General features: G+C 38.4%; 2 protein-coding genes and 1 non-coding gene across 57 annotated transcripts in view, besides 4 other annotated features; 2 read left to right on the top strand and 1 right to left on the bottom strand.

Annotated features, from left to right (window-relative positions):
* RO60 (Ro60, Y RNA binding protein) overlaps window positions 1-10,679 on the bottom strand; it is a 32,166-nt gene extending 21,487 nt beyond the window's left edge. For 4 of the 16 annotated variants that reach the window (NM_001042370.2, NM_001173525.1, NM_001042369.2 and 1 more), the window contains exons 1-2: window positions 10,069-10,417; window positions 657-1,257 (exon numbers count right to left, since the gene is read on the bottom strand). In NM_001042370.2, coding sequence (NP_001035829.2) covers window positions 657-1,236 — 580 coding nt within the window. In that variant the 5' untranslated portion in view covers window positions 1,237-1,257; window positions 10,069-10,417. Of the gene's footprint in view, window positions 1-656; window positions 1,258-7,964; window positions 10,418-10,514 lie in introns of those variants that run through there. The other 12 variants (XM_006711496.4, XM_006711497.4, XM_047428920.1 and 9 more) reach the window with 7 other exon arrangements.
* Window positions 9,780-10,512: an enhancer, noted in NCBI's record as "NANOG-H3K27ac-H3K4me1 hESC enhancer chr1:193028909-193029641 (GRCh37/hg19 assembly coordinates)". NCBI's record gives its function as "activates a minimal SCP1, AML or CMV promoter by ChIP-STARR-seq in primed H9 embryonic stem cells {active_cell/tissue: H9 hESC(primed)}" and the evidence as "EXISTENCE:reporter gene assay evidence [ECO:0000049][PMID:30033119]".
* UCHL5 (ubiquitin C-terminal hydrolase L5) overlaps window positions 10,215-27,541 on the top strand; it is a 47,823-nt gene continuing 30,496 nt past the window's right edge. For 17 of the 40 annotated variants that reach the window (NR_146930.2, NR_146931.2, NM_001199261.3 and 14 more), the window contains exons 1-3: window positions 10,931-11,106; window positions 18,474-18,537; window positions 20,440-20,545. Coding sequence is in view for 30 of the 40 variants with exons in the window: in NM_001199261.3 (NP_001186190.1) it covers window positions 11,031-11,106; window positions 18,474-18,537; window positions 20,440-20,545 (246 nt within the window). In the remaining 10 variants the exon portion in view is untranslated. Of the gene's footprint in view, window positions 10,659-10,780; window positions 10,879-10,930; window positions 11,107-18,473; window positions 18,538-20,439; window positions 20,546-25,961; window positions 26,243-27,541 lie in introns of those variants that run through there. The other 23 variants (NM_001350847.2, NM_001350846.2, XM_047422333.1 and 20 more) reach the window with 8 other exon arrangements.
* Window positions 10,513-11,245: an enhancer, noted in NCBI's record as "NANOG-H3K27ac-H3K4me1 hESC enhancer chr1:193028176-193028908 (GRCh37/hg19 assembly coordinates)". NCBI's record gives its function as "activates a minimal SCP1, AML or CMV promoter by ChIP-STARR-seq in primed H9 embryonic stem cells {active_cell/tissue: H9 hESC(primed)}" and the evidence as "EXISTENCE:reporter gene assay evidence [ECO:0000049][PMID:30033119]".
* Window positions 10,580-11,109: an enhancer, noted in NCBI's record as "active region_2266". NCBI's record gives its function as "activates an Ori minimal core promoter by ATAC-STARR-seq in GM12878 lymphoblastoid cells {active_cell/tissue: GM12878}" and the evidence as "EXISTENCE:reporter gene assay evidence [ECO:0000049][PMID:35858748]".
* Window positions 11,270-11,579: an enhancer, noted in NCBI's record as "active region_2265". NCBI's record gives its function as "activates an Ori minimal core promoter by ATAC-STARR-seq in GM12878 lymphoblastoid cells {active_cell/tissue: GM12878}" and the evidence as "EXISTENCE:reporter gene assay evidence [ECO:0000049][PMID:35858748]".
* On the top strand, window positions 12,876-13,010 carry SCARNA18B (small Cajal body-specific RNA 18B). Its single transcript, NR_135615.1, has one exon.

Raw genomic sequence — 27,541 nt, 5'->3', positions numbered from 1 at the left:
TCCTTTAGGTTCCATGGAAGATGGGTTCCTAGGAAGATGGGGAGGGAAAAAAGGAATGGGCTAGAGCAGTGGGTACAGCATGGCCATCTGCCGCCTACTGGCAAGGAGCTGATTTGCTTATTGCAACTTTTTTTTTTTTTTTTTGCTTTTCTACTTAGCATTTTATTGGTTACAGAGTAGTTTTCTATACATAATCTTAAGGAACAGCTGTGTACAGTTACCTAAGTTTTACAAACGATTATACTGAGACCAAGTTTGAATATCTGATGAGTAACTGGCAAAGCTGGAACTCAAAAGCAGTTCCTTCTAGTGACTGTACCCATATCCAAGGCTTATTGCAACTTTTAGTCTTGCCCCTGCTACTTACACAGTCCAGAATCACTTGGGTGAGCATTCCAGTTAGGACGGTGGCATTTTAAGATTCAGAATATTAACCTATAAACCTGTCATTTGATTCTTGATTATTAATGTCTGGATCGCCTGTGGTAGGGGTGTAATCCCAGGAAGGCATTAAATATATTTGAATTAATGTATATTTTGAGAATAAAAGGCTATTTCTAGAAAATATTACACACTTGTCTTATGTTAAATAAAAATTTGCTATTTATTGAATATCCCTTACCCACCCTTCTTCCCAATGAAGATCTTATGCTTACCTTCACTGGAAGGTTTAAGATGTGACAATCTTAATAGATCTTTGTGAGACCAGCCATTTCTCTGTTTATATTTTGTAACTGCCAGAGCAAGGGCCATGCCACCTTTCTCATTGTACCAGTCCGCTATAGCCTTCCGGAGGGCACGACCCCACATGCCACATTTCATGCTTTCCTTCAGATCTTTCTTAAACTGGATAAAAGTAAAGAGATGGGTAGGAATGCGACAAACTTCAGAAACAGCTTTAAATGCTGCTTGTTTTGTGCTTATGTCGGAGCACTGGGAACAAATGGCAAGTGCAAAGAGCATAGGCTCTTGCTTTGTGGTTCTGCCTTCTTGACTAAATGACTTTATTTCTTGTATCACTTCACATCCTCTGCCATCTTCAATCAATCTAATTAAAGCTTCAGCATTTTCAAGGCCCAACTTCTGTTCTTTGATATAATAAGTCCCACCTTCAGAACCGAAACATAAGAACCGGTGTAGTCGATTCATGTCAGTGACTTGCCATACATATCCATCCTGAGAATTGGCTATCTGCTTCTCATTCAGTGGCTGCATTTGGTTTACAGATTCCTCCATTTTTTTTTGTCTTTAGGAAACCTAACAAAAAGGCAAAATGTTATTACAACTAGATGGGCACAATAAAATTACAAAAGGAAAACAAAATGTAGGTTTACTGAAATGTTATTAACTCTTTTAATTTAAAAACATCTTTTAAGTTCCATAGTTTTTCCCTTAGTACAAAATCAATATAAATGTCCTGAAGAAAAATCAGGAAAGGCAGAAAATGAAAGAAAAAAACCATATCTGAATACTTTGAAATGACTACCAGTAATATCTTCAGTTTTTAAAGTGTTTTTGTTTTGTATTCCTATTTTTATAATCTAAAGAAACTAAAAGCCCTTCACAGCAAACAAACAAATCATAGCCACAGTGGTGTGATAATCAGAAGCAACTAAGGCGTCACATTTTTGAGATACAGTGTGCTCCTTCAGAGATTAAGCAGGTAGATCAGTATGGCATCTTGAGGCCCACACAGAGAATAAAAGAAGGGAGGGCAGCAATAGTAGCTGGCACTAAGTAAGAAAGATCATACTCCCTGAAGAATTGTGTAAACATGTTTGGTTGCCTATCTAACATTCATTCTTCCCCCTTCTCTCTTCTCCTCTTCTTGGCCTCATATCCTTCAAAGGAGGCTAGGCCTTTCCCTAGCCCCAAGGGATGGATCTTTATTGCTCTAAGCCAGTGGTTCTCAAACTCAATGTACATCAAAATTACTTGAATTACTAATTGAAACATAGATTGGTGGGTCAGCCCTCTCAGGCACTGCCCTGAGTTTCTTTCATAATTTAGTAGGTCTGCAGTGAGGCCTAAGCATGTATACTTATCACAAGTTCCCAGCTGCTGCTGCTGCTTGACCCAGGCCCAATAATCATGGTGCTCTCCTTGCCACATGACTGGTATAGGGAGTTGGGCATGTGTCATGACTGGCCAGTATGACATGATAAGTCAGCTGAGAACACTTTTGAGGTTTTCTTCAGTCTTAAAAGGGGGCTCAGGCTCTTAAAAAGAAATGTTCCCTTTTCTGCCTTCTGACATTTTCATTTGCAAGTGATGCCTGGAGTGGTAACAACCATCTTCAGACCTTGAGATAAGCCAGTTTAAGATGGCACACCAATATATAAAGAGAGCAGAACAGAAAAAACAAAGAACCTGGGTCCTTGATATCGGGTTACCTGAAACTGCCCTGCTTATACACTTCCTATTATGTCATAAATGTATCCTTATTGTTTAAGCCATTTTTAGGTTTACGGTTTTATGTCATCTGTAACTACCCTCACTCTACTCCTTCCATTAGCTCTAAAACTCCTAGAACTAGCTGTCTGGAAACAACATCCCTCTTTATCCTTCTAATGGAGGAACCACAATTGTCACTTCTTCATCAGTCCACCACTATTGTTACTACAGTATCACTGTTTATTGAGGTCCTTCAATCTGTCATGTTATTTCGGTGCACTGGGCTTCTGTCCATGGCTAACAAAACAGCACAACCAACAAAAACTTAAACCAGCATTTACTGAATACATACTATGTGTAAGACATGAAGACAATTTCTCTCCCATTAAAGAGACTAAAAAAAAAAAATTTGGGCCGGGCACAGTGGCTCACGCCTGTAATCCCAGCACTTTGGGAGGCCGAGACGGGCGGATCACGAGGTCAGATCAAGACCATTCTGACTAAAATGGTGAAACCCCGTCTCTACTAAAAATACAAAAAATTAGCCGGGCGTGTTGGCAGGCGCTGTAGTCCCAGCTACTCAGGAGGGAGGCTGAGGCAGGAGAATGGCGTGAACCCGGGAGGCGGAGCTTGCAGTGAGCCAAGATCCTGCCACTGCACTCCAGCCTGGGGGACAGAGCGAGACTCTGTCTCAAAAAAAAAAAAAAAAAAAGAAAGAAAAAAAATTTTTTTTTCTCCTCATCACAGGAAAATCACACTCATTTGTGGGGATAGAATCACAATGCAAACTGTAGTTAAGTGCTGTAGTAGAAAAGTATTATGAGTGAGCAAGGGAGTATAAAATAATATTGTCTCAATAATCCAGAAAGATTTGTGCAGAGAAGGCAAATTGTGATTAAGTGCTGTAGTGGAAAAGTGAGTGAGCAAGGAAGTATAAAATAATACTGTCTAAATAATCCAGAAGGATTTGAGCAGAGAAGGCAAACTAAAAAACTGATAAAGTTTAGGGAAGGCGCTCCAGGAAGAGGTTTCTGAAATCTCGATCTGTCTTTATATTCTAGAAAAGAAACTGTCTAAGCATCCTGTAGAGCCATAAAGACATGTTGACAGATACGGTCATAACTTAAAGAGGAACACAAGATAAAAGAAGTTTTGTTCTGAAGATCATGCTTACTTGAACATGTTTATATATTACAAGGAAGGCTAAGGATAGAATCTTGGTGAATATTAACCATTAAAAGCTAATGAGAGAAAGGCCTTTTAAAGAGAGACGGAAAAGGAGGTGCACAGAGTTGAAGAAAACCGACAGAGAATAGTATCATGGACTACAAGGAAGAGAACTTCAAGGAGTGAATGGTTGGTAATTTCAAATGGTCAGAGGAAAAGTAAATAAAAGGCTAGAAAATGACCACTGGGTTTAGCAAGTAGGAGTGACTAGTGAGAGCAACTGCAGTAGAGTGGTATAAGAAGTAGCTTGATTACAGTGAGATCAGGAGAATATGCAGTGAGGAAGAAACTTCACAGCTAGACTACTCTTTTGTAGACACATACTTATAAACTATGAAGGAAAGTAAAAGAGGATGGGACTTAGAGAAAAAATCTTTTTACCTTTTTCAATGGGAAGATGCTAACATTGAAAGATTCAATTTGGAGAGCTGAAGATACAGTAGAGAAGGGGGATAACTGAAGGAATTTCTTAAAGAAATGAGAATGAGCTTAGAGCATCCAGGTTGAGACTGGCCTACTGACAGCAAGAGATATTTCCTTTATCTTTTAAGGGTAAAGAGTATAGGTAAAGATAGATTTGAAGGAATGAGGGATAAGGAAACTGAAGACATTCCCCCCTGACAGGAGATGTAGAATGCCAAATGGTATGTGGAGAAGTTTGGTAGAGAGGGGAGGAATGAAAGACTGGGTCTCAGAGAGGGGAACACATAGTGGTGTAGGGATAAGTGCATGGGAGAATGAAGAGCCTCACATTTTGAATGTGACTGAGGGGGACAGTGATCTGAATTGTGTTCGGAATATTAGTGTCAATATTCCAAATAAGACGCTAGTATAAATTTGCTTATGTTAGTGGAAGCCTAGGTCTCAGGTGGCATCAGAGATGTAATGATCATATTAGTCATTAGGGACAAATTCATAGTTACTGAATACAGCATAGGTTGAAACTCCTGTTGCAGTGGATGCCTGTTCTCCTATTTATTATTATCCTCTTTTCAAATTTGGCTTTTATCTCTACCTTTCGATCCAAAACACTTTAAGAAGACTAACATGCTTCTCAAAGACTGATACCTTAATTGCCAATTCCAGTAGACAATGTTATGTTTTTCTGATCTTTACATTACATAGACTTTGCTAGTCTCTCCCTCAGCTTTCATAAAAACAGGCTCTGGTTGCACTTCAACCTGTCTACTTCTGCTTATTAGTTTTATTTGTTAGATGAGTAACACTGAAATGACATCTAATATCAGATAATTCTACTAAACTTGCTTTCCTGCACCAAGGCCCAAGTGGTGGGATTTAAAAGGTCCCAAACCAAACCTCAAAATTCCCTCTCCCCTCAAATTCTTTTCCTTGTATTATTCATTGTGACCACATGTAGCTACATTATTGGTTCCCTTGAAAGTAGAAACCAAATCTTATCATTTTTGTCTCCTCTTTTGTATTGCTTTTATGTAATTAGCAATACATACTTAAAGCCAAATATCATTAAAGTTGACTTTCTGAACCATTTGCCAAATAATTATGCACAATTGGTTTCTCTTTCCCATAACACATTTTGAGAATAAAAGCCTCAATATTTATAATGCAAAATATAATACAAGTCTTTAAGATAAATTCTGTAATCAGAATGATAAATGTACTATATGCAGGTAGTGAAAAATATAATCAAGAAAAAATAAAGTTCTAAAGAAAAGTAATGAATACTGAGTAAAAATGTCATCTAAGAACAAAATTTCTGTTTTTCTAACATATTTAATATTAGGTATTCAGGTACTTCTCTAGAGCAAGCAGCAAAATGAACTTTTAAATCTATGAAGGATGTCTAAGAGGTAATCTCTAAGTATAATCCTTATAATCCCTATTAGAAGAAATAAAGTTACTTATTCATGGACTCTTCCTTTTGCATGTTATGATATAAATGACAACCCTGAGGACATACCCTTTCAGTATTTCTGCAGCAGAAACTGCTCAGGTTTTCCTATGCTTCTGTGACTGTACTTTCCAGAGTGCAACATAAAACAGTGGAACAGATAACATTATTAGCAGCCAGGGCACCTTCCTACTTGATTATATAAATTTACCAGGGTCATATTCATATTTTAAAAGACAGAAAACAGAATAACATGTCCCAAGTTACTCTCCTTCTTGTCACTGAGTGTGATACACACATAAACTCAAAATTCGGCAAAGTGATGTGATACTGTGGCATCTTATAAGAGAGAGTACCTGGTCTTTGGACATAATACCCAGCAGAAAGTTTCAAAAACCCGTGGTATTTCCTGAGAAATAGGAGTGTCTTTGTTACATTAATGAGGCAACATGGGCCCCTAGGTAGCTTCAGGATGGGGGCTAATCACTAGAAAGACCAACTATATGTTTAGAGGAATAAACTGGTCAGGCCAACCTTCCATGAAAGGAGGAGGACTTGAGATCAAGTTCAGCCATGTAGCTAATGATTTAATCAATCATGCCCATGTGATGAAACCTCATAAAAACTTTCTTCATCGATACTCAGTGGAGCATCCTTGGTGAACAAAAACTGATGTGCTGGGAAGGTGATGTGCCCACATTTCACAAGGATGGGCATGGAAGTTCTGCATCCTTCCCTTGCCCCAGACCTTGCCATATGTGTCTACTTCCTGTTTGGCTGTTCCTGAGTTGTATCCCACATTTCACAAGGATGGCATGGAAGTTCTGCATCCTTCCCTTGCCCCAGACCTTGCCATATGTGTCTACTTCTTGTTTGGCTGTTCCTGAGTTGTATCCCTTATAATAAAACTGTAATTGCAAGTAGAGCACTTTCAGTGAGTTATGTGAGTCATTCTAGTGAACTATCAGCCTTGAGGGGATTATGGGAAGTCTTGAATTTGTAGTCCGCAGGGCAGAAGTGTGAGTAGCCTGGGGACCCCATTTACAGCTGGTGTCCAAATTAATGGCATTCTTAGTGGGGACCTTGTCCTTTAATTTGTGGGATCTGATGCCAACCCTGGGCAGCTAGTGCCAGAACTAAACGGAAGTGGGGGACACCCAGCTGATGCTACAGAATTAGTGTTGGAACGCAGACACCAAAGGCAAAAGTGACAAAATAAAAAAATAAACTGGACTTTATCAAAATTTAAAACTTGTATTTCCAAGGACACCATCAAGAAAGTGAAAAGACAACCCAAGAAAAAGGAAAATATTTGCAAATCATACATACAATAAGTGACTTGTATCTAGAATATATTAAGAACACTTACAACTTAATAATAAAATGATAAATAACCCAAGTAAAAATAGGCAAAAGATGTGAATATTACTCCAAAGACACACAAATGGGTAAAGAATCTGAAAAGGTGTTTTTCCAAAGAAGATTATCAAATGGCCAGTAAACACATAAAAAGATGACGAACATCATTAGTCATCAGGGAAATGCAAATCAAAACCACAATAAGATACCACTTCACATCCACTAGGACAGCTATAATCAAAACAATAATATTAAGTGTTGGTGAGGATTTAGAGAAAATGAAACGCTCATATACTGCTGGTGGGAATGTAAAATCATACAGCCACTTTGGAAAACAGTCTGGCAGTTTCTCAAAAGGTTAAATATAGTTAGCATATGACCGAGGAATTCTACCACACACCTAAGAAAAATGAATACATGTATCTAAACCAAAAGTTGTATCCAGATGTTTTTATCAACATTACTCATAACGGTCAAAAAGGAGAAGCAACCCAAATGTCCATCAACTGATGAAGGGATGAAAAAAATATGGTATATCCATACAATGGACTATTATTAGACAATAAAAAGGGATGAAGTAGTGATACATGACACAATGTAAACAAACCTTGAAAACATTATGCCAAGTCAAAGAAGCCAGTCACAAAAGGCCACATATTGTATTACAATTCCATTTATATGAATTTTCCAGAGTAGGTAAATTCATAGAAATAAAAAGTACATTAGTCTAAGGTTGTCAGAGGCTGTCGGAGTGGGGGAACACTGGGAAGTGACTGCTAATGGGTAGGGGATTTCTTTTTGGGTGATGAAAATGTTCAGAAATTAGTGGTGATGACTGCACAACTCCGTGAATATACTAGAACCCAATGCACTGGATACTTCAAAATAGTGAACTTCATGATATGTGAATTATATTCTAAAAATCTATTATTAAAAATACAAACATAAACTAGCCAGGTAAAATATATTTGGAAAGTTATTTAAATAAACAAGCACTTAACTCTGCTATTATCTATATCAGAATGGAGAGCACCAATACAATTGATTACACAAAAATTATATTTAGCCCTACAATTTTTATATTTGACTTTTAAAAGCAATTTGAGATACCCACAAGACATATACAGCAACTTAATTTCTTCTTTCTCCAACTGCCATCATCTCCTGCCTCAAAGCTTAAGCTCCATTATCAGTGGTTTAGAAGGCAATTGGGCAGTGAGTGAGGTCAGAACCTGGTCATCAGTTAATCCATTCCTGGATAATCAAGTGTTGTAAATCCAGATTAACAACAAAAAGATATAGTTAATTCTTTGGATGGGCCTGACCTATCTATCTAGTGCTCTTAAAACACACCATACAACTAATGTTGTATTAAATCTCTATAAATTAAGTTCTTGAGAAGTTAAATATTACAATACTATAATATTAAAAGCATGGACACTTTTTTTTTTTTTTTTGAGACAGACTCTCACTCTGTCACCCAGGCTGGAGTGTAGTGGCGCGATCTCCACTCACTGTAACCTCCGCCCTCCGAGTTCAAGCGATTCTCCTGCCTCAGCCTCCTGAGTAGCTGGGATTACAGGCGCCTGCCACCGCACCCGGCTAATTTTTTGTATGTTTAGTAGAGACGGGGTTTCACCATGTTGGCCAGGCTGGTCTTGAACTCCTGACCTCGTGATCCACCCGCCTGGGCCTCCCAAAGTGCTGGGATTACAGGCGTGAGCCACGGTGCCCGGCCAAGCATGGCCGCATATTAAATTGGTTGTGGATATTTTATACAATGTCCATTTCTCTACTTTTAAATTTAATTTAGAATGCAAAATCAGGAAATGCTAGTAACACACATTATATAATAGCACTTGTTTCACAATCATCAGAACTACAGCATATACAGTATCTTTTATCAGTACTAATGTGTTATTTCCAAGGAATCCTACATTTTTCTTGAATTTACACATCTCAATATCTTCCAAAGTCTCTTTATAATTTATTTGAAAATGCTGCCTTTCATCTCAAGAAGTCAAACACATTTGCAGATTATTCCTTTTTAAATGAAGTCAAAGCTGACATATCTATGAGAGTGCATGACAAATGTAAAGAAACAACAATAGAAAATTGGGCCCATGATAGAGGTTTGTTTACCCATGATACAGGTATCTGAATCCACTGATCAATGTGATGCTATAAAAACTGATGAGGAAGGAACTGTGGCAAAAATGACAGCATGCTAGTCTGAGGGGAGCTGCCAACTGGTTGCCACGTGGTATGGAACTAGTAGTTGCCAGATCTCATTTTTCTCAAAGACCCAGAAATCTGGCTTTTTATGTAAACTCTCAGGATTAAACGTTAACATAATGAAAGGCATCTTAACCCCCTTCTCTGCTTACTTCTAGATTGTGCCAAAGGCTAAATTTTCAGTTTGGTCTTTCTACAATAGGTACCATGTTAATTAAGTTGGGTATCAAGTACATTTTAGTTTTGATGTATTTTGCACAGAAAACATTTTCAAGTTCATAGCAATATTACAGATTAAAAAAAATACCACAAACTACTTTGGGCTCTGATGCCAATCATTCTGGACTCTGTGCCTCTTAAACTTTTCCAATAAAGTATCTCAAGGAAATATACTGTACAGAATCCTCCTAGTCTCCAAGTTGAGGGCAGAGTTTCCGGAGATAAACTTCAAGAAAGTTACAAAAAAAATTTTTTTTAAACCAACACTTCATACAAATTTTGGCTTCTACCCCATAGCGTACTCAGGCTCCTTTTAATACAAAAGCTGCTCTGTTGCTTCCCTCAATAAAATTTACCACGTTTATTTCATGGCTTCACATAATCTGTAGCACAAGGCTCCCTAACTCCAGGGCACAAGTCACCTATTTGAGAAGGAAGGAGTCAGAGTTTTACCCACTAAAACATTTTTTTTTTCTGGAAGCCAAAGGTCTTTCTTGGAATATGTAGCTTTTAAGGAGTAAATATACACTTAACGACTTCAATATACTCTTAAAAACTTTAATCTTAACACTATAGTATTCTATAAGAGCCTGCTGAATGAGGGCAATTTAGTAAATATTTAGTAAATATTTGGTTTAACTCATCATCCAGTTTTAGAACCATTCCAAATGTTTTTAGATTAATACACGACATTTGTTTTCAACCTAATTTTCCCTTGACGCACCGCATCCCCTTCCACTAGTCTAGCAGCCCCATGGACAAACCTTTCTCCTCTCCCTCGTTATTCCTCTGTGATAAATTCACCCTGTCTTCCCACAAAGATCCTTCTTCCAAAACCCAGATCCCGGGCGACGCCTCTCCGCGCAGAAGCCGCGGGAGAAGGAGGAGAAAGAGGAGGAGTAAAGCAGGCCCTCTCGACGTCGGCCTGTGGGGAGCGATGCCGACAAGCAGGAGCGGTCCCGGCTTCGGAAAGGGCCCACCCTGAGGAATGGTCCGGCCGGGCCTAGCGAGGATGTCCCTACCGCGATGCTGGTTCCGTTACCCAGGGTGGACAGGCGCGGAAGCGGGACGGGGAAGAGCGATAGTTTCGCGGCGTTTGCCCAGCCTCAACCCCTGGGATGCGGGTGAGAGACATGGAGGACTGGTCAGAATTTGCGCGTCCCTGGGGCCGCACAAAAGGCTCCCAGCCGGCCTCCCGCAATGTCCTCACCTGTACCTGGCAGCCGACCCCCTGGATCCGCAGCGCCGCCAGGAGAAGTCCTGCGCAGCGCTGGGAAACGACAAAAGAAGGCAGCCTGACGGGCAGCGACAGCCACAGCAACAGCAACAGCCCCACTGCCGCCGGGGATTCCAGGTTCGGTTCCCGGGAACGAGTCCTGCCCCTCTTCTTTTGCCCCGCCTCCGCCCCAGAGGGGCGAGGATCCCGGATGTTGCCTCCTCGGCGCTGTGAATCACCGCCCTTTCTTCTCAGGCCCCAGCCCTTCCGAATCCGCTACGGGTGCTGCAAGGCCTGGGAAGAGTTTCGATGTCTCTAGGGTGGCTAGAGCGTCCTCCCGCGCTCAGTCGCGCTGCAGGTGACGGCGCCCGGAGGCTGTCGGGAAGTAGGCGGGGTGACGTGTGGTTGACGAGCTCGGCGGCGGGTTTGCTGAGATCTGTGGCCGGCGGCAGCTGGTGCGGGGGGCAGCTGAGAGCGAGAGGTGGATCGGGGCGGTGTGTGGCCAGGGCCATGACGGGCAATGCCGGGGAGTGGTGCCTCATGGAAAGCGACCCCGGGGTCTTCACCGAGCTCATTAAAGGATTCGGTGAGAACCAAGGGGACCGTCCTGGGCCTGGGGTCACGGGAGGAGGCCCAAGCTGGGCATGGAGTGGTTCCCTGCGGCCACCGCCGCCCCGCGTCTGGAGAGGTGACTTCAGGAACCTGGAGTCCGGGTGGGGGAAATGTAGATGTTCTGCCCTCTCCTCAGCTCGAGACAGTCGCGTTTCCACAGTAATTTGTAGAGCCACACCACGAGGGCAAGGATCGTGTCAGTCTTGTGCCTGCTGCATCCTCAGGACCTGGCACCCAAATCCTGTAATTGACTTGAGGGCCCTCGCTCCCCAAGCTCTTAAGCACGTATTGCCCTTTGCACTGCCCCTTCTCTGCGGCGCGCACCTTATCCCGGGCTGGTGAGGTCAAGTGCATTGCTCAGGCCATTAGTCCTGCAGAAGCCACCCTAGGGTGCGCCTTCTCAAGGGTGAGGTGTCTGCGGCTCAAGCCGCCCAGGAACTCGAGATTCTGGTTATTCAAAGCAGAACGCCTTGAATGTGTGAATAGCTCTTCGGGACGTCCACACACGCTGACTGCGTGGGCCTGAAAGGCCACTTCACTGGTTCCGCTCTCTGCTCATTTCTGGCTTCCGGTGAAGTGAGTTTTCTTGAGCTAGTGTTCTAGACTAGAGGCCACATGCTTTCCTCACAGTTTCTCTCTGGCTGTATTTAGTGCCTTTCGTCCTAAATAATCAACACATTTTACTTTTTATCCTTCCCTATTTATCTTGTTCTTAGTCTCTTCTTTGGACAGTACGTTTTTATCTATTTCCCAAGTGTTATTGACTCTACGATGTTAAAACTTTTACGCGGGATTAACAATTAAACGTTGATGTAGATATTGCCTGTTGTACACAGCTTAATATTTGGAATGTCATTTATCAAGCATATGTTGTTCATCTTCTATATCTCAGGCACAGTGGTAAGGATTGGGAAATTTTCTTTTTTTTGTTTGAGACAGAGTCTCGCTCTGTCGCCCAGGCTGGAGTGCAGTGGCGCGATCTTGGCCCACTGCAACCTCCATCTCTCGGGGTCAAGCGAATCTCCTACTTCAGCCTCCCGAGTAGCTGGGATTACAGGCACGCGCCACCATGCCCGGCTAATTTTTTTTTTTTTAGTAGAGACAGGGTTTCACCATGCTGGCCAGGCTGGTCTCAGCTCCTGACCTCGTGATCCACCCGCCTCGGCCTCCCAAAGTGTTGGGATTACAGGCGTGAGCCACGCGCCCACCCAAGGATTGGGAAATTTTCATGTGAATAAACCATAACTGCTGTTTCGAATAATTGACAGTCAAACTATAATATGGTGTGTTAATTGCTATGTTAGAGTATATACAAAATGTTAAAAGTACACAGGTCATGGAGGAGCACAGCCAGAAGGAAAAGCATAAACAGTAGTGATGTTAAAGTATATGGGTTAGCCAACAGCTAGCAAAGTGACTAGAACATAATATAGCAGACTGGAGGAATATTTATTTGGATCTGAAACTGAAAAGATAAACTGAGGACAGATTGTATGCCATGTTGTATAGTTTGAATTGCCCTGTAGTGACTGGGGATTTACCTATCAAATATATTTTAATGCTGAAATGACATTATTTTCATAATTAAGGTTTATTGTGCTTTTAAGTGTGCAGGGCAGGTTGGAATAAAGTGAGAGAAGCTAGACATCTCTTAAAATGGTTGGAGTCCGAGATGATTGGCTAAACTAGTGGGTTAGGAAGGAGGAGTTAGATTCAATAAGTTTGCTATATTTAAATCAACAGTTGCATGTGGTAATGTCTGCTCTTCATTCCTTTGGGAGCAGAAATACATCCATAACACGCTAAATTAAAAAAGGAGTTCTCAGGGCTGCCAACCTTACAGTAGAGGTTGAGTGGTAGTATATTACTCCTACATAAGAGAAAAAAAATCAAAAGGACTGCTTACTAAAAGTTGGGGAAAAAAAGAGGCAAAAATAACTCCCTGGTTTCTAGCCTGGGTGGCTGGTGAAACACTCTTACAAGTGAAGAGCAGGCTTGATGGACAAGAAAATGGATTCAGATTTGGACAGACACTGAGTTTGACATGTCTGCAGATTTAGTCATATATTTTACGTTCAAAACCTTAACAATATGTTAAAGTTAACTTTCAGAAATGTTGTACTAGGTAAGTTTGTTTTTACTCCTTCAATTTCATATGTGCAGAAAACTTGGAGATCATGCATGAAAGAATGATATATAAATTCATCTTCTGTACATGCACATATGAAAAATCAGCAGCTATTAATAAATTGGCTTCATTAGCAGAAGAACCTGCAAACAATTAAATGGTGGTAGTTTATGTCACCATCAGATGCTTCAAAGAGAAAATCAGTTTATTCCAATTATTTCCATCATTTTCATTTTTTCACCCAATTTATAGATTTAAAAAAGCTTTTGGCTGTTGATTCTTTCAAAAATGAAATACCTGTATTGTGAATGCTGTCATAAATTCATTTCAAAAGTTCCATCATTGAAAGGGAAATGAATTGTAGATGCAGTAAGTATGTAAATACAGATTTTGGTAGAATGTAGTATCATTAAATTAAGAAACTGGTGGAGCAGAACTGTACTTTTAATTGGTATGGTCCACACATAATACATATGTGTGCCAAAACAAACCGTGATGGTCTGTTAATAAAAACAGAAGCTGTAAATATTTGGTTACAGCCAAGATAGAGTAATGGGGACTAGATTCATTTTTCTTACAACAAACCAGTGACCCCAGCTTTCATTTTAATAAGAAAGTAGAAAACCTAGAGTAAGCAGATGACAGGAAATAATAAAGATCAGAGTTGAAATTAGTGGAACAGAAAAGAGAAAAAAATGGAGAAAATACATGAAACTAAGAGCTGTTTTTTGGGGAAGATCAATAGAATCACTCTAGCCAGACTGATCAGAAAAAAAGAGATGTTCCTGTATTTCAGTATAGGAATGAGAGAGGTGACATCACTAAAATTTTACAGATATTAAAAATAATATTATGAACAACTATGCCAATAAATTTGACAATTTAGATGAAATGTACAAATTCCTTTAAAGACACAAATTACCAAAGTTCACTTAAGAAATAGATAACCAGTATATGCCCTGTGTTTATTAAAGAAATGGAAATTGTAGTTTAAAATTTTCCCACAAAGAAATTCTAGCCAAGGTGGCTTCACTGGTAAATTCTATCAAATATTTAATATTATAAATAATACCAATTCTACATAAACTCTTCCAAAATAATTGGAGAGGAAGGAATGCTTCCCAACTCATTTTCTGAGGACCAGCATTATCCTGACACCAAACCAGACAAAGATATTACTAGAAAAGAAAATTGCAGACCTATATCCATCATTAACTTAAATGTACAAATTTTAAACCATTTTACCAAATTGAATTTAGTAATTCATTAAGTGAACAATACATCATGACTAAGTGGGATTTACCCCAGTAATTTAGGATTGGTTTAACATTTAAAAAATCAATGTAATGCACCATATTAATAAGCCAAAAAATCAAAAACATGATCATGTCAATAGATGCAAAAGGCATTTGACAAAATCTAACATCTGTTAAGAATTATTAAGTGTTAGATTTTATCCTGCTTGCCAGCAAATAAGTTGGCTTGCCAGTTTCATAGATGCTAGCAGACAACTTTTGGTTTAGAGATAAGGGTTGTATTACTTATAGCATAGTAGGCAGCAGGAGATTCATTTTCACATTGGTTGCCTTTTCCTCCAAGTCCATGAGGCTGGAGGTGGGCTCTGGTGGATGCTGCACAAGTAGTGAGGCTGTATTACACATGAGGAACTCTCAGCTAGAGAACTAATCTTAACAAGGGGGGCTGCTAGCCAACCTGCTCAACTTTTGCCTTTAGGGACACATTATCTTTATTATCCTGGACAGCAAATCAGCCTTCCCTCTGCCTCAAAAAAAAGGTGCTGTCTCTGTCTTCCAAGTCTGTTTACTATATGAACATCCTTGAAAAGATGGTCCAGAGCAAAGCTGGTAATTCCTTGCAGAAGACGTGCAGAAACAGGAGAAACCCATTGAGAATTGTCTTGCAACAATATCCAGCCTTCTTTCTACACTAAATAGCCATTCCCTCAGCCATTCTGCTCAATATGACCTGACCGACAGGGTTGGTGCCAAATCTGTTTAATTTGTGTCTTTATAATGTTTACAGTAAAAAAACTAGATGGCTTTCTTGGATTTTTGTATTGACATTTCCTCTTGGCTCAGAGCATTAATCCAGGGACAGCAAGATGTGTAAGTGATTTTGCAGACTCCACCTTGTCATGCAAGGAGGAAGAGTAATTCCATCATCTATAACAACTCTGACCCGTAAGTTAGGGCAGATTTGAAAGACGTTTGGGTCCAACGTGGTGTTTCCTTAACATGAAGGTCTATTATGACTGCTTCTAAGGTACATTTCATCTTGTTTTGAGGAAAGAGATAATGCCTGGCTTTCACACAAGAAGTCTTGGGGTGCATATGGTGCCCCTGGAAGCAAGTGTTGCTTCCTATTGTTACAGCCCCTAAAATGGGACCAGCTCAGTTTAGGGGTACAAGGTAACAGTGCCTGCAATTTAGGGCTCCCATTTTAGTTAAAATAATTGAGTCTAGTCCTTGTTTAAGGAGAGACTACCTGAGTGCTGTCAATCCAGTTTTTCCTATTTGGTCACATCATCAGCCAAATGGAATTTATCTGTACCATGGAATGACTGAGACTGGGGTTGTGGAAGACATATGGGAGTGTTTTTTGGCAGAGGTGCAAAAGCTGGGGCCATTCTTGCTGCTTCTGATAGATTTATCGGTAGGGTTAGGGGAATGACAAGTTGTCAAAACCGTCTGTTGGAACATAGCATACCTAGCAGTTAAATTTAACACACTGACAACAGTTTGGGAGAACTCCACGAGTGTTTTTCTTGGGGCTCCAGGTTGATTTTTAAGACAGTTATTTTTGAAATTTGTTTCTATCCCTAGACCCATCGGTATAATACAGATGTGTTAGTTAATAAATATTTCAAAGCATTTTAACGTTAGCACCCGCTTTCGCTTTGGAACAGGGTTCTGGTTTAGATGACAAATCGTATGATCATTTTTTAAAAGACCTAGTTCATTTATCCATGACAGTTTTTTTTTTTTTTTGGTAACCAGTGCAGGTAGTAATGATCTCTCTTACCTCCGAACTTCCAGAACATGTTCTATATATGCTTCATATGTAATTTATACATTCTATACAGTTTTTGCATTGTATGTGCTTGTCTCCTACCAGATTGTGACATTTTTAAGTATTGTGACAATAGTTTATTAATTTCTGTCTTTGCCAGGGCCTAGTACCATGCTTGGCACGCAAAAGATATTTGGTAAATACCATTTTAAAACCTTCCCCCCTCCTCAACTTTTTATTTAATATATATTATTGGGGAGTCTGTATTAAGTGATTCTTTGTGTTTATTGTTTGATAATCTTATATACCTCACAAGAATTTTGTGGCTTGGATGAAGCACGTAAATATCCTTGTTTTATATATGCATGGTGCAAGTGAGGCTCAAAGAAATTGTGTTCTTTCTCAAGGTTAAGACCTTTACGACAGTGCTGGGATCAGGATGTAGGTCTCTGGAATCAGCGCTTATTTCTCTTTCCATTATACCATGCTGTATTAGATATTTAACATATGTAAGGAGATAGATGCTAAATTGAATACTGTGTTTTCCTTACATGAACAGATGTGTTTGTGTTTAATGTGAGATTGTTTAAGCAGTGTCGCTACTTGAAATTCTACCAGTGCAGGAGGCTTTGAGGCACTTTTATTCAGCGTACTTTTTCTTTATTGTTGTGGTATGATGTAGAATGTTTTAATGTTTGGCCTGTTTTTTGATTTCCAATAGAAGTAACCAGTGTTAACAGTTGCATTAACATCCTTCCATGCCCTTCTTGACACTGATAGAAACATAGGTTTACATTTATGAGGTTTTTTCCCTAATTTGATATATGTGAATGTCTATTATTCTTAATCTGTTGCTAGATATTCAGATTTTTTCTGGTTCTCCTCCACCGCAAACCATGTAGTAACTCTCTTTGTACATGTATCTTTAATACCAGAATGGGCCTTTAATAGATATTTGCTGAATAGAGCAAACTGAGGCACAGAATGGCATGAATGCCCAGTCACATTGTTAGTTTACCCAACTTTTTTTTCTTTTTTAACCACTGTTTTTTTGCAGTAGTCTAAAGGCTTCTCTAGCTTTTACTTGAAAATCATATGAAAAATTAGAAAGCGCCCAGACTTTGAAACCTGATGTGGGTTTTAATTAGGTTTCTGGCACATACTAGCTGCACTTTATGTAGAGGACATAAAAAACTTTGGTAAATACGGTTGATTTTTGTATTGTGATGATAATACTGGCTAATAGTTGGTGGACCCTTAAAGTGTGCTGAGCACTGAATTAAATTATCTTCTACATTATCTCATTAATTCCTCCAAACAGCTCTGTGAGTGTGAGGAATGTAGAGTTTAAATGGCTGTATTGCTAGTAAATGTAGGAGCCAGCATTCAAACTCTGGCAGTTTGGAGCCCGAGCTCTTAACCACTACACGATTACTACTGTACGCTAGAGCAGAGTTTCTCAACCTTGGCACTGTTGATATTTTGGGCCAGGTATTACTTTGTTGTCAGGGGTTGTCCTGTGCAACGTAGGATATCTATCAGCATCCCTGGCCTCTACCAAATAGTTGCTAGTAGCCTCTCCCCTACCGTCCACACCAGTGACAATAATGACAATAAAAAAAAGTCTATCATTGCCAAATGTTCCCTGGGGAACAAAATCACCCTAGTTGAGAACTGCTGTCTTAGAAGGATATTTGGGAGGGGAGGAGGAGACGTGACTCTGAAGTAGTTGAAAATATACAGTTGGAATTCAGGATAAGGATCAGAACTAAAGATGTGATTTGAAAGTTACTGTTAAGTATTAGTTATTTACTTTCCCAGAAAAAAAAGTATAGAGTAAGAAAAAATAATAATAATATAAGGCTAAAGACAGAGCTGGAGAAATGGAACAGTTGAGTGAAAAGAGTGGATAGAGGTGCCAGAGATTGAGAGAGAGAGAAGGAACAGTCATAGAGTGGTAATTCAATGAAAATAAACTCTTGAAACTCTTTAAATTATAAATATACTCCCACTGTAAATAATTGGGATATATTAAAGAGAGTAATGAGATTTGGCTGTGAGCTTTATTAGTTTTACCATTTTGTTTTGTCATGTGTTGCATTTCCTTTAGTTAATATTTTATTTCATGTTGAAGGAAAAAATGAATTATCCTGTTTACTGAAGAAAATAATTTATTATTTCAGGTTGCCGAGGAGCCCAAGTAGAAGAAATATGGAGTTTAGAGCCTGAGAATTTTGAAAAATTAAAGTAAGTATAATTTTAGTTGTGTTAATATGTATATATATATACTTTAACAAACTTAAAGGATATTCAGATTTGTTTGTTTATTTTACTTGGATTACTCTAGGTTGAATACGTTATGTCCTTTAAGTCTCTTCAATCCTGTGAGATAGATATTATTATTATTTTTTTATAACTAAGAACCTGAGGCTGATAGGTAACTTGCAAGGGAGTCAAACCTAAGGCTCTGTAATTCCATATCCACAAAGTACTGGTTAGTTGATTTTTTTTTTTTTTTTTTTTTACAAAATTCACTTATATATCAATAGTGTTAGAACATGGAACACATTTTAACATAAAAAGCAAGAACAATAGCTCAGTGTACTAAAGCATATTTGATAGATAATATATATTTATAGTAATCCAGAACTTGCCTACACACTATCACATTACCTCTGGGAAAGTTATATTTAAAGTTCCAAATGTTGATGCCAGAAACAACTTTTCTCCTTCCCCCATCTTTCTGACCAGAATCACCTCTTTTAACTTCTCCTTACCCCTGACTACCATGCCCTCAAACATTGACCCTGTATCTTCAAATGGAGGGCTAGAGGAATTTTCACTGGTGGGAGTCTTGGAGTCTGGAATGGGGTCAGGGAATCTTTTAAAAGGGAAAATAGGGACTTAGGAATATGCTAACTGTTGTTAATAGTAAGAAGGTGATAGGTAGTTTGCTTCTTCCTACCTTTCTCTTCCCTGTAAAAAGAGCAATCACTTTAGATGAAATGAGATCATTTGTGGCTAAGATCAGGGAAGGTTAATTAAAAATGGATCATTTGAACTGTCTTTAAAAAATGGGAGCCAGGCATGGTGGCATATGCCTGTAGTTGTAGCTACTCAGGAGGCTGAGGCGAGAAGATCGCTTGAGCCCAGGAGTTCAAGTCTAGCCCAGGCAACATAGTGAGACCCCATGTCTAAAATAAAATTGAATCAAATAAAAAGATAGGAAACCTTTTTTTTTTTTTCTTTTTCTTTTTGAAACAGTCTCACTCTGTCATCTAGGTTGCAGTGCAGTGGTGCGATTTCGGCTCACTGCAGTCTCTGCCTCCCGGGTACAAGTGATTTTTCTGCCTCAGCCTCCCAGGTAGCCGGGATTACAGGCACGCTTCACCATGCCTGGCTAATTTTTTTGTTTTGTTTTTGTTTTTTTAGTAGAGATGTGGTTTCACTATGTTGTCCAGGCTGGTCTCGAACTCCTGGCCTCAAGTAATCTACCTACCTTAGCCTCCCAAAGTGCTGGAATTACAGGCTTGAGACACCATGCCCAGCCCTGAGGATAGGAAAAGTTTTTTGTGGGGTGGGAGGCAGTTGTGATAGATAGACTAGAAGGAATTTCAAAGTAGTGATTTAATGTTTTGTGCTCAAAAACAGTTCCTTTAGGAAAGTGGATGATTTCATTATGTATGAGATGGTAGCATCAATTCATACTGCAATATGAGGATTTTTCATGAATCCAATAATATATGAAGGTTACTTCCTATATTTAATATAGATAATATATGCTATCAACCGTTTATCTATAAACATGTTACATGAACTTTATATATTTTGGAGTTCAGCCAGCTTCTGGTTTTACTATATTCTTATTTTTTAAGTGAGGTAATATCAGGTAGAAATGAATAGTCTACAGATTTGAGAATAAACCTTTCACTACAATTTTATTTTAACTGATATAATTTTAAGTTGTATTAGCATCTTCTAAGGCAACAGTCTAGTAACTATGAATGGCAATAGTGATCTTTTAAAAATTTCCCATATTTACTTCATTTGTATTATATTTGTTAGATAACTGACTAAAATTTTATAGATTAACAATGTATTATGAAAGAAGCAGGGTTTGATGTCATTAATTTGTATTTTATTTTGTAGGCCAGTTCATGGGTTAATTTTTCTTTTCAAGTGGCAGCCAGGAGAAGAACCAGCAGGCTCTGTGGTTCAGGACTCCCGACTTGACACGATATTTTTTGCTAAGCAGGTATGGTCCTTGGATACTCTGAAAAGTCTCAAGAGCAACCCTTTTTATAAACAAGACTCTAGTTTACTACTGTTTGCTACTAGTGTAGTAGTCCTCAAACTCTTACACTCTTAAAAATTATTGACATCTCCAATTACAGTCTTAAAAATTATTGACATCTCAAAAGAGCTTTTGTTTCTGGGATTATCTATCAATGTTTGCCATATTAGACATTAAAACTGAAACATTTTAATAATATTTACGCCAGGCATGGTGGCTTATAACTGTAATCCCAGCACTTTGGGAGGCCGAGGCAGGAGGATCCCTTGAGCCCAGGAATTTGTTTTTTCTTTTTCTGAGATAGAGTCTTGCTCTGTCGCCCAGGCCAGAGTGCAATGGTGCGAGGCTCATTGCAACCTCCACCTCCCAGGTTCAAGCCGTTCTCCTGCCTCAGCCTCCCAAGAAGCTAGGATTACAGGCACATACCACCACACCAGGCTATTTTTGTATTTTTAGTAGAGATGGGGTTTCACCATGTTGGCCAGGCTGGTCTCAAACTCCTGACCTCTCAGGTGATACACCCGCCTTGGCCTCCCAAAGTGCTGGGATTACAGGCGTGAGTCACTGTGCCTGGCTGAGCCCAGGAATTTGACACCAGCCTGGGAAACCTGAAGAGACCCGTCTCTATAAAACAAAAACAAAAAAATAAATTAGCTGGGCGTGGTGGTGGCGTGCCTGTGGTCCCAGCTACTTGGGAGGCTGAGGTGGGAACACTGCATGAGCCCAGGATATGGAGGCTGAGTGAGATATGTTCATACCACTACACTCCAGCCTGGGCAACAGAGCTTGACCCTGTCTCAAAAAAATAAGAAAAAAAGAATTATGAATAGATTTGAAAGTAACAACAATAAACTTGTTACATGTTAACATCGATAACATTTTTTAATGAAAAATAACTATAGTTACCAAAAAATTAGCTAGAAGATTGCATTGTTTTACATTTTTGCAAATCTTTTAAATGTCTGCCTTAATAGCACAGCTGGATCCTATCTGCTTCTTCATTCAGTCTGTTGCAATGTTTTCGTTTTGTTTTGCTTTTGGTTGAAATCAATAAAAAAAGTTCTGTCTCACACAGATGTGTAGTTGGAAAAAGAGAAATATTATCTTTTTCAGGTAAATATATTCTTTGACAGTATGTCAACGCTTTAAAAGTATTGCTTTCTCAAAGGTTAGTTGTAATGTAAAATTTGTACTTTGTTATGGTAAAATCCTTTGGATTATGTTGCCCTTCAAATGGATCTTTTATTCCTGTATGATTTTGTAACATTGTACATTTACCGTTTTATGAATGTCTTCTAAGTGTTGACACATTAGATATGATATTGTTGAGAAGTTAAATTACCCATAGCAAACCTTTTAAGCTCACAGTGGGAGATCTAAGTTTTACAAACTTCTAATTTTTAAATTTTCACTTGAAAATTCAAATTTTATCAACAACAACAAATATTATTAGGTGTTTGTTCACAAAGCCACAGACTGATTTAACTCATTTTTAAGAAAATATGTGCCAGATATCCTTGTCTGGAAAACCACATTTGTCTCTCGTTTGTTCTTTCAAGCAAAAATGATGTTCCAAGGGAAAAAGCTAACAATTTAGCTTACAAATCAATTGCTGAAGTACTTTCTTCAAGATAACTAGCATATCTTGGTATACAGCAGTAGTTCTTTATTTGTACTTCCTATTTCATTCCACAGAATATTAAAGACTTGAGACTTGTACTCCAAGGTCAAAATTTGATAAAAATAAGTTTTACTGCTTTATCAAAGACTTTTTTTTAGTAAAACTTGCTTTTGTTTTCTTTTTTTAAAACTCTTATGTATGTCAGTGAAATAGTTTAATGTCATTGCCTAGATTCATGCTAAAATACCACCAGTTTTACACACTGTTGCTTTTGTGCCAACAGTGCAGATGGAAAAGAAGAGGAAAAGGCAAAAACTGTCTTAGAATTACAATGGAAACCATTTTGAGCTCACAAACTCCTTGAAAAGGGTCTTAGGGATTCTTAGAGAGCCATAGATAATACTTTGATTGCATTTGTTTGAAAATTGCACTTATTTCTGAGACCCAAAAACTTGCTTAGAATAGTCTGATTAACCTTTAGAAAGGTGGAAAATAAAACTGCTTATTCTCATTACTGCCCTTGAGATAAAGCTTTTGCTACTAAGTAACTTGTTTTCTTTTTTCTTTTATTTTATTGCTGCTTTCCATTTTCCTCTGACTTTTTTGAATTGAGTATTCTTAGAGAAATTAGAACTTCTTGCTTTTACTTTAAGGAAAATAGGGTTTTTTATAGTGTAGTTAAAAATGTATCATTTGTTTTTTTTCTGATAGCAGAACTTAACATTACAGCAATATAAATATAGTGATGAACATGAATATCCTTGTAATCCCACACCCATCTCTACTAACCTTTTAACAGTTTGACTCATCCATTTAATCAACAAGTAATCATTGAGCACCTACTTTGCTAGGCATTGTTTTAGATACTACATATATAATGGTTAACAAGAGAGGCATCCTCAACAACTATAATAATAATAATAGTAATAATACAAACAGTAGGCAACATTTACCTCTCTTGTTGTGTGCCAGATATTGTAATTTGGGTATATTATTTAATATTTGCAACAAGCCCATGAGGTTGTTGTCTTCATTTCACAAATGAAGAAATTGAGGCCTAGAAAAATTATTTGCCTGAGATCACAGAGATAATATGTAGTACATCCAGAACTCCAAGTATAAAACCCAGGTTTGTGACTCCATATGTCATACTTCCTCCCACATTTTCTGTTCATATGCTAACATGTTTTCCTTATAATTTTGTTTGCTAAAATTGGATTATTATGCAAAATATTTTGTTTTTTTTTACTTAGTAATGAAAGTTTGACTTTGTTTCATTTCACAACACATAATAAATATTAGTTAACATTTATTGAAAGCTTACTAAGTACTTTTATATATTTAAAATGATTATATTTTAAATTTAAATATACAAAAATTATAAATTTATATATAAATTTAATTATTTATATATTCTATAAATATATAAATTATTATATTTAAATATATTTAATATTTAAAATTATTAATCTGATCCCTTACAACAATTATCTGGTTTTGCAGGCTTCTCATCATTTTACAGATGTGGAAACCGAGTCCTAGAGAAGATAAGAAACTTGATCATGTTATGTAGCTAGTCAGTGGCAGAGCTAGGGTGCAAACCCAGGCACTGTGGCTCTGAAGTCTGTACTATTAACCTGATCACAACACTGCCTCCTTTAGTGTTCTTGGTATAAATATCCTGTAATTTAATTAATTAATCTTTTAGTAGTCAACATTTTGAGTTTCTAATTATTTCCCTAGTCTAAATAATCTGGTCGGGCATGGTGGCTCATGTTTGTAATCCTATCATTTTGGAAGGCTGAGGTGGGAGGATCACTTGAGCCCAGGAGTTTGAGACCAGCCTGGGCGATATAGGGCGACCCTGTCTCTAAAAAAAATAAAAAGTTAGCCAGACTTGGTAGCACACGCCTGTAGTCTTAGCTATTCTGGAGGCTGAGGTGGGAGGATTGCCTGAGCCCAGGAGGTTGAGGCTGCAGTAAGCTATGGTCATGCCACTGTACTCCAGCCTGGTCAGCAGAGCAAGACCTGTCTCAAAAACAAAACAAAAAATCCAAATAGTCCATTTGTATAATATTTTTGTGCTTATATATCATTATACATATAGTAACTATAATTTTAAATCCACAGTTGTTTGTAAATTTTAAGATCTACGTAGTAGAGAAAAGCTAGGGGACAGATGAGTTTAAAAGTCTGTGAGGTGATTTTTCTCCTTTTTAAAAATGTTTTTATTTTTTCAATGTATATAAGCATATATGCCATTATAAAAATTTAAACATTATAAAGTGGATGCTGTAGAAAATAAAAGTGTCTTGTAATCTCTGCTTTAGACATAACCACTGAAAACAATTTATATTTTTACAGATTTTTTTCCCATGTATGTTTGTGTATATTTGTGTTAGGTTATTCTTGCATTGCTATAAAGAAATACCTGAGACTGGGTAATTTATAAAGAAAAGGTTTAATTGACCTACAGTTCTGCAGGCTTTATAGGAAGCCTGGTGCTGGCATCTGCTCGGCTTCTTGGGAGGCCTCAGGAAGCTTTTACTCATGGTGGTAGGCAAAGTAGGAACAGACATCTCACATGGCTGAGCTGGAGCAAGAGAGAAAGAGAGAGTGGGGCACACATTTTTAAATGATCAGATTTTGAGCAACAGCTCACTTAACACCAAGGGGATGGCCTAAGCCATTCATAAGGGATCCACCCCCATGATCCAAACACCTCCCACCAGGCCCCACCTTCAGCATTGGGGATTACATTTCAACATGAGGTTTGGGCAGGGACAAATTTAGAGACTGTATCAGTAAATTAATTAATTGTGTTTCTTCCACACTAAACTGTAAACCTGGGAGTTAGGGATTTTGTTTTTATATTCAGTCCTTGGTACGTGGTAGGTATCCAATAAATGCAGACCGAACCGTTCATCTCTAAGAATATTACTATTAAACAGTGCTAGAATTTACTAACACTAAGATACTAATGATGTCTGATTTATAGAGACCTAGCTACTTTTAAGGTATAAGAAAGTACTCTATAAAGAAAGAAAAAAATGATAGTAGAGTATGAATTTATAATTTCTGGAGTCCCTTGATATTTTTTAGTTCTGTGTTACATTTGTATTATTCCAGTTGTGTTTATGAAAGTCTCAGATTAGTGATTCCCCATATCATTGTTTTGGTACTTTATTTTGCTAACGTTCATATTAAACTGACAGGTCAATAATTCCCCATTAATATCTGTCAGTCTTTTTAGTATATGCCTCCTATAAGCCTATGCTAGGAGAGTTATAATATATATTACATCAATATGTAATAGTTGATTTTAGGTTTCAAGGGCTTACAGTAATAATTTCCAATCCAGGATGTCTGGAGTATTTTCAGAAATTTGAAAAAATTTAATGAAATCATATTTATTTGATAAGGTTATACAGATTAACTAAATGGCATTTATAATGGGATTACCTCAATATAGAGAGGTAACACTGGCTATTTTGTGCTGATCATATACTCTAATTCAAGGGGGTTGCGTGTGTGTGTGTGTCTGTGTATCATTGGTTAATAAAATATTGAGGAAAGAAATATATCCTAGTAATTGCAATTTGTATATAAGGATCCAGAAATGAAATTTTGATAACTGTTCTCCCTCTGCAAAATATTGTAGTCTTGTTATTTCACTGATGAGAGAGCTGAGGTGTGATTTACTTGCTTAAAATCATGCTGCAGTGGTACTGGATTTGTGTGACTCCATGTGTTCAGTCTTTCAGGAAAGAATGACTGAATACCTACAATGTGCCAGATACTGTGGTGCTTGGAGAATGAAAAAGTGCCATGATTCCTGCCCTCAAATATGCTTAGAGTTTCGTGGAAGCAATTGATATTAATCAATTAAATGTTAAATTACAATGATGATAAGTGCTGAATGGAGTGAAATGAGGACTATATTACGAAGTTTAGGAACTGTCCACAAAACTACCCTCACTTTGAACACCAACTGTAGAGTTCGACCAAGACCACCTTCACCTCTGACAGCATTGCAGGTTTGTGGTGGGGGGATCCCCAGATCATCCTCAGGTTCTATAATTGGTTAGAAGACTCATAGACGTTACTGAAAGCTGCTATACTCATGATTATGGCTTATTACAACAGAGGAATATAGATTAAAATTAGCCAAGGGAAGAGCCACATGGGGTAGAGTTCAGGAAAGTTCCATGTGCAGAGCTTCCAGTTGTCTTCTCCCAGTAGTGTCACAGACAGTGCTCACTATTCTGGCAATGCTATGTGACAATATGCAGAGTATTGCCATCCAAGGAACCCCCTCCGATTCTTGGTGTCCAAAGTTTTTAGTGGGCCTTGGTCACATAGACCTGGTTGGCCACCCATGTGGCTGGACCTTAGTCTCCAGCCCCACAGGAGGTTGAGCTGATAATCTTGACCCAATACCCCCACCCTAAGTCACATTATTAGACTATCAGTGTGGCCCAAAGCTCTCAGGTAAACAAAGACTCTTAGGCATTCAAGGACTTAGAACTCATCTCCCAGGAACCAAGGGCAAAGCCCAGACCTCTCTTTGGGCAAGGTTAATTTCTTTACTATAGTCATAAAAGTGGGACTTCACCTTGTCAGAGAGAAAGCCTCTCTGAGTAAGTGACAGTTCAGCTGAAATCTAAAGGTTAAGTAGGTATTAACTAGGGGAGAGAGGTTCAGGATCATTCCAGATTAATTACAGCTTTATAGCAAAAGTGAGTAAGACTAGTAAAAGGTACAGGAAGAAGACCAATGTAGCTGAACTGTGCAGAGCAAAGGGGAGATGTCCTGAGATATGAAGCAGAACAGGAAATATGTTAGCCAGGATATTAGGTACAGTTAGGCATAGGCATAAAAAAAACAATAGTTTATAAGAAATAGGTGGTTTTTTTTTTTTTTTTTTTTTTTTTAATATTCAAGAGCTGTCAAGGCTCCAGGCTCTTTTGTTTTGCTCCTTTGTGTATGTTTTCTATTCCAAAGGTTATTTCATGGTCCAAGATGATTTCTGGGGCTTCAGCCATTCTTTCTCAATTCCGTATTCAGACAGGAGGAAGGGGAAAGCACACTCCTTTCCCTTTTATAGAATTTGCCTGTGTCACATGTATGCTTGTCTCTGGCCAAAACTCAGTCATTTGAGTTAGCAGTAGAGGACACTAAGAAAGTTGTCTTCATTCCAGGTGGTCATGAGCCTAGATAAAATTTATGTACTCTAGCCTACAGATGCAGACAGAGGTCAGATCTTACAGGGTATTTTAGGCTGTGATTGAGACTTTTGTCTTTATCTTTAGAGTAATAGAAAGTTACTGAAGTGT

This window comes from Homo sapiens, chromosome 1, assembly GCF_000001405.40.
Source record: "Homo sapiens chromosome 1, GRCh38.p14 Primary Assembly".
NCBI lineage: Eukaryota > Metazoa > Chordata > Mammalia > Primates > Hominidae > Homo > Homo sapiens.
Note: the sequence above shows the minus strand (reverse complement) of the source record. Positions and strands in the feature narration are given on the sequence as shown.